This window comes from Homo sapiens, chromosome 2 (assembly GCF_000001405.40).
Source record: "Homo sapiens chromosome 2, GRCh38.p14 Primary Assembly".
In the NCBI taxonomy this organism is placed as follows: Eukaryota; Metazoa; Chordata; class Mammalia; order Primates; family Hominidae; genus Homo; species Homo sapiens.
The window spans coordinates 203,956,100-203,962,944 of NC_000002.12; the positions used below are offsets into that span (position 1 = coordinate 203,956,100).

General features: G+C 40.0%; 1 protein-coding gene across 3 annotated transcripts in view; it reads left to right on the forward strand.

The window, feature by feature from the left end:
- Positions 1-5,478, forward strand: part of ICOS (inducible T cell costimulator) — a 24,815-nt gene extending 19,337 nt beyond the window's left edge. For 2 of the 3 annotated variants that reach the window (NM_012092.4, XM_047444022.1), the window contains exons 3-5: positions 560-666; positions 1,700-1,784; positions 3,487-5,478. In NM_012092.4, coding sequence (NP_036224.1) covers positions 560-666; positions 1,700-1,784; positions 3,487-3,500 — 206 coding nt within the window. In that variant the 3' untranslated portion in view covers positions 3,501-5,478. Of the gene's footprint in view, positions 1-559; positions 667-1,699; positions 1,785-1,871; positions 1,985-3,486 lie in introns of all 3 variants that reach the window. The other variant, XR_007073112.1, reaches the window with a different exon arrangement.

The window sequence follows — 6,845 nt, forward strand, 5'->3', positions numbered from 1 at the left end:
AATCATTTATAATGAAGATATACAGGTGATGATTTACTATTAATCATAATTAGTATTATTCAGCAATATGCAATGTAATCCCATAGACTGCTAAGTCAGAAATAGATCATATTGCCTTTTAAACACATATGCTATTAAAAATCAGGAAAAACATTAAGACAAATACTTAAACTTATGGCTTAATAATGGGTATTATCTCTATTCACCTAAGATTTAAGGTTTGGTTTTGCACTGTGTTTGTGGAATGAAGTATGATGATTGAAAATCATAGTTTTATAACATTACTTTTACTATTACCTCTTTTATAAAAATATAGGCAGAAAAGCCCTTTCTATTAACCACATTTGTAAATACATTATATGCATAATCTTTTAAGTTTTAGTTCCTGGATCCTTGCCATAATACTGAGATGATGTTAGTCTAATAACTTGCCCACTTACTGGATTTCATGACTATAATAAAGAAAAGCTTCATTTGATTAAATAGCTCTTTTAAATTTGGTAAGAGAACTTGTGGTTCAGCAGAATTTTTCATTAACATACCTTTTTTTCCAATCCAGAATCACAACTTTGTTGCCAGCTGAAGTTCTGGTTACCCATAGGATGTGCAGCCTTTGTTGTAGTCTGCATTTTGGGATGCATACTTATTTGTTGGCTTACAAAAAAGGTAAGCGATTTCTATCTTTCCTTGTATCTGCTTTACAGATGCACATCAGTGATTATTTCCTCATCAAAAGTACACATGGCTCTTGTCAGAGTAATTTGACCAACAGGGAGACAATTCCTTCCCCCCAAGACATACCTACTAATTAAACTAATCACTTGGAACAGAAATTTATGTATTTGTTTTATAGCCCACACATTCCAAAGAGGACTTGACTTGATGGCTTACAGAGAGTTACATTATTATTATTATTGTTCAAACTAGATGAGGAAATTGAGGTCAAGAGAAGACTAAAGGTCAGGAGGAAGGTTAAAACATCAAAATAGATGACTCTGATTTTTAAAAAATTATTATGCATGGGCTGCGAATTTGAATCCAAGGTTCCTGAGAGGCAGGGCAGAGATGAAACAATTAGTTATAAGTTTTGCTTAGCTGGTAAGTTAAAAACAGTCAGCAAGAAAGCCTTCTAAGGTGTCAATTGTAGCTGAGAAGGAAATTGACAACTTTTTTACATGGTAGGTTATTAGACTCCTTGCTTTTAAAGAAAACCACTGAGGAGCTATTTAGAAAGATAAACAACAATGACAACAACAAAAATCTCCCTGTGCTGGGGGATATTCTTTTTGGTCTCTTGCATTACAGGTTCTCAATCAAAGAACTGACACCACTCTGCATATTACGCGAGTATGCTAGTACTCAAGTATATCCACAGTGTGGTCATTGGCCAGTGTATATCTGTGGGAGAGTGGAATTTGGAAAGAGACATAAAGAAGGAAGAGAATGAGATAGCGCCCATGGTCTAAGTCTGCTGGGAAAGAAACAATAAAGGCAAAAACGAGGAAGAAAGTTCAGTAGAAAGCTCTTTTTATGTAAAGCCCTTTTCATATTGTTTTTCTACTTAGCCTAAAGCCAGGAACCTAAGTCACATTATCATGTTTTTGTCACATACCACTTCAACAAAGAATAGAAAACAGTCAAAAAACAAAGAGATGGAGAAGAAAAGATGACCAAGCATGTTTCTGGCTTTTTCTTTCAGAAGTATTCATCCAGTGTGCACGACCCTAACGGTGAATACATGTTCATGAGAGCAGTGAACACAGCCAAAAAATCTAGACTCACAGGTATGACTCCATTTGGGGGTTTGGGAAGGGAAGAGGTTTCTTCACAGTAAGCCTGGAATGTTAATTTTTTTTTTTTTAATTTTAAAGGAAAGGAAAACATCTCCAAGGCCTAATTCTAGAATTTTCTGTGAAAATCTGGATTTCTCACTTTTAACTAGATTTATATTTTCTGCAGTATATTGAAAACAAACAAGCAATAGGTTTGTAAGCCACTATTGAAACTAAACACACAAACAGCTCATAAACCACCATAGTATCAAGGCAATTTTCCCATTGATGTTTCAAAAGTTGGGATGATTCTAAGTGTTTTTTGTTGAAGGGTTCATTCAGTCATTCAATGAGCGTTTATTGAGCATCAGTTAAGTGTGAGTTACTGAGTGAGGCACTCTGGGGAATTTGGACAGATATATGCTAATTTTGGACTGAGATTAGGAAGAGAGATCTGTGCTGGTACTGCTAGAGGGAAGAAGGAGAAATTGATGAAGATATCTGGTTATTTTGAGGTAAAGAGTGTGCAAGTTTAGAGAACTTGGATGGCTTTAGAAGTCTCAGTAACATGGAAATTTGACCTTTTCTGTTAAGAGTCAGAAAACTGAAAGTTGCCAAGTTTGAGGAGCACCCAGAAAGTTTGAAGCTTCCATTGTGGAAAATTCATGTCTTATGCCCTTGAGGTTCGAATGATGTGCGATGTGTAATGAGACAGAAGCCACTGCATTTTTCCACCCCTCAGTGGCTACAGATTATCTAAAGGGGACACACATAGCTTGCGTTGTCATGGAATTATAGCATGGGATGGGAGCTAAAAAGGATCCTTGAGTTCACATTTCATGTTTTAGATGACAGAAATTGATGCTCAAAGTGTTCAGTGACTCTTTTGGTTCCCTAGACAGTTAATACCTAGCTTTGACACTTGCAAAGAGCTTATGTTTCATTACTTTGCTGTTTAAAAAATATATGATCTCTCAATCTCTTTGCTTAATGTGTTCTGGCTGTTTGGATCCCCACAAGCAGAACCTGACATAAGGACTTGGGTGCAAGTAGTTTATTTGGGAGGTGATCCCAGGAAGAAGGGGTGAGGGGGCAGGGAGAGTGAGACAGCCAACAAGGAGAAGCAAATGAAGGGCGCATTATTATCAAGGTCTCAGCTCCAGGCCACAGAGGCCTGACTTCATTGGACCTCTGAGAAGTGTACAGATGCCTCCCAGAATCATTCTCTTGAAGGATGGCAACCACTGGCTCCATCCTCACTGATTTGGGGTTGCCTGCGGAGGGCATTAGCTTTCCCTCATCTCTGAGCTGTGCCTCTACTTGGGATGAGCCTACTTGGGATGAGTCTTCAGAGAAAGTCTGGAGGCAGAAAAGCAGTGAAATGCAGTGGGGCTGTTGTGCTAGAACAGTCAGCCCATGCAGCGCTTTCTGCCCCAGCAGCAGCTGCAATCAGAGGTGGACAGTTTCAAAGTGATGAGTTTAGATAATGTCTGTTATAGGAGTCGAGAGCTAAACTTCTCTGGAAATGGGGAACTGGTGCTGGGTGTTGAAGCATAAAGATGAGTTTGCATGGTGTGTGTGTGAGTGTGTGTGTGTGTGTGTGTGTGCACGTGTGTGTTTGTGTGTATGAAAGGCAATGGAGAGGGGAAAGCTTCTTGTAGGGAACTGGCACATGGAGAGCATTTAGATAATTTATGCTGAATTTTTGTTACAGATGTGACCCTATAATATGGAACTCTGGCACCCAGGCATGAAGCACGTTGGCCAGTTTTCCTCAACTTGAAGTGCAAGATTCTCTTATTTCCGGGACCACGGAGAGTCTGACTTAACTACATACATCTTCTGCTGGTGTTTTGTTCAATCTGGAAGAATGACTGTATCAGTCAATGGGGATTTTAACAGACTGCCTTGGTACTGCCGAGTCCTCTCAAAACAAACACCCTCTTGCAACCAGCTTTGGAGAAAGCCCAGCTCCTGTGTGCTCACTGGGAGTGGAATCCCTGTCTCCACATCTGCTCCTAGCAGTGCATCAGCCAGTAAAACAAACACATTTACAAGAAAAATGTTTTAAAGATGCCAGGGGTACTGAATCTGCAAAGCAAATGAGCAGCCAAGGACCAGCATCTGTCCGCATTTCACTATCATACTACCTCTTCTTTCTGTAGGGATGAGAATTCCTCTTTTAATCAGTCAAGGGAGATGCTTCAAAGCTGGAGCTATTTTATTTCTGAGATGTTGATGTGAACTGTACATTAGTACATACTCAGTACTCTCCTTCAATTGCTGAACCCCAGTTGACCATTTTACCAAGACTTTAGATGCTTTCTTGTGCCCTCAATTTTCTTTTTAAAAATACTTCTACATGACTGCTTGACAGCCCAACAGCCACTCTCAATAGAGAGCTATGTCTTACATTCTTTCCTCTGCTGCTCAATAGTTTTATATATCTATGCATACATATATACACACATATGTATATAAAATTCATAATGAATATATTTGCCTATATTCTCCCTACAAGAATATTTTTGCTCCAGAAAGACATGTTCTTTTCTCAAATTCAGTTAAAATGGTTTACTTTGTTCAAGTTAGTGGTAGGAAACATTGCCCGGAATTGAAAGCAAATTTATTTTATTATCCTATTTTCTACCATTATCTATGTTTTCATGGTGCTATTAATTACAAGTTTAGTTCTTTTTGTAGATCATATTAAAATTGCAAACAAAATCATCTTTAATGGGCCAGCATTCTCATGGGGTAGAGCAGAATATTCATTTAGCCTGAAAGCTGCAGTTACTATAGGTTGCTGTCAGACTATACCCATGGTGCCTCTGGGCTTGACAGGTCAAAATGGTCCCCATCAGCCTGGAGCAGCCCTCCAGACCTGGGTGGAATTCCAGGGTTGAGAGACTCCCCTGAGCCAGAGGCCACTAGGTATTCTTGCTCCCAGAGGCTGAAGTCACCCTGGGAATCACAGTGGTCTACCTGCATTCATAATTCCAGGATCTGTGAAGAGCACATATGTGTCAGGGCACAATTCCCTCTCATAAAAACCACACAGCCTGGAAATTGGCCCTGGCCCTTCAAGATAGCCTTCTTTAGAATATGATTTGGCTAGAAAGATTCTTAAATATGTGGAATATGATTATTCTTAGCTGGAATATTTTCTCTACTTCCTGTCTGCATGCCCAAGGCTTCTGAAGCAGCCAATGTCGATGCAACAACATTTGTAACTTTAGGTAAACTGGGATTATGTTGTAGTTTAACATTTTGTAACTGTGTGCTTATAGTTTACAAGTGAGACCCGATATGTCATTATGCATACTTATATTATCTTAAGCATGTGTAATGCTGGATGTGTACAGTACAGTACTGAACTTGTAATTTGAATCTAGTATGGTGTTCTGTTTTCAGCTGACTTGGACAACCTGACTGGCTTTGCACAGGTGTTCCCTGAGTTGTTTGCAGGTTTCTGTGTGTGGGGTGGGGTATGGGGAGGAGAACCTTCATGGTGGCCCACCTGGCCTGGTTGTCCAAGCTGTGCCTCGACACATCCTCATCCCCAGCATGGGACACCTCAAGATGAATAATAATTCACAAAATTTCTGTGAAATCAAATCCAGTTTTAAGAGGAGCCACTTATCAAAGAGATTTTAACAGTAGTAAGAAGGCAAAGAATAAACATTTGATATTCAGCAACTGAAAATACCTCACTGTGTTTTCTTGGGGGGAGCAGGGAATTGATTACCTTAGCTAGCATGTACAAATTTGACATTGTACTTGAAGATAGTTACATTGCTTGGAACAGTTGCTTTCTTTCTTTTTTTTTTTTAAATTTTGAAATAGCCACAAACTTATAAAACAGTTGGAAGCACAGCAAAAGGACTGTTCTTTTCCTGAGTAAGTTTCTGATCTAATGTCCTATCACCTTTGAATGGTATTTTTTACAAACAAGAACACTGTCCTTCCTAACCATAGTATAGCCTTCAGAAAATTAACATTGATACATTGCTACCATCCAATCCTCAGAGCGCCTTCAACATTAGCCCTGTGCATTTAGTTGATATGTTTCATGCGCGTCTGTGTGAAGAGACCACCAAACAGGCTTTGTGTGAGCAATAAAGCTGTTTATTTCACCTGGGTGCAGGTGAGTTGAGTCCGAAAAGAGAGTCAGCGAAGGGAGATGGGGTGGGGCCGTTTTATAGAATTTGGGTACGTAAAGGAAAATTACATTCAAAGGGGGGTTGTTCTCTGGCGGGCAGAGTGGGGGTCACAAGGTGCTCAGTAGGGGAGCTTTTGAGCCAGGATGAGCCAGAAGAAGGAATTTCACAAGACGATGTCATCAGTTAAGGCAGGAACAGGCCATTTTCACTTCTTTTATGGTGGAATGTCATCAGTTAAGGCAGGAACCGGCCATCTGGATGTGCACGTGCAGGTCACAGGGGATATGATGGCTTAGCTTGGGCTCAGAGGCCTGACATTCCTGTCTTCTTATATTAATAAGAAAAATAAAACGAAATAGTGGTAAAGTGTTGGGATGTCGAAAATTTTTGGGGGTGATATGGAGAGATAATGGGTGATGTTTCTCAGGGCTGCTTTGAGCGGGATTAGGGGCGGCGTGGGAACCTACAGTGGGAGAGATTAAGCTGAAGGAAGATTTTGTGGTAAGGGGTGATATTGTGGGGTTGTTAGAAGAAACATTTTTCATTTAGAATTATTGGTGATGGCCTGGATACGGTTTTGTATGAATTGAAAAACTAAACGGAATAAGAGAAGGAGAAAAACAGGTATTAAAGGTCTAAGAATTGGGAGGACCCGGGACATCTAATTAGAGAGTGCCTAAGGAGGTTCAGCATAGCCTTGCCAGTAAAGATTATTTATTTACTTCAAGAGCTAAGAGTGGCAGTTTGGGGATAGCACCAGGGGATATCAGCTGTGATGACTTGGAGAAACAGTGTAAACCGGCAGTGTAAACAAGAGCAGGGCATGTATGAGTAGCTGAGAACGGTGAATAGGAGTGTGACTAGACAGAAGATGGTAGGGATGACAAGTTTTTCTGGGGCACAGTCTAAG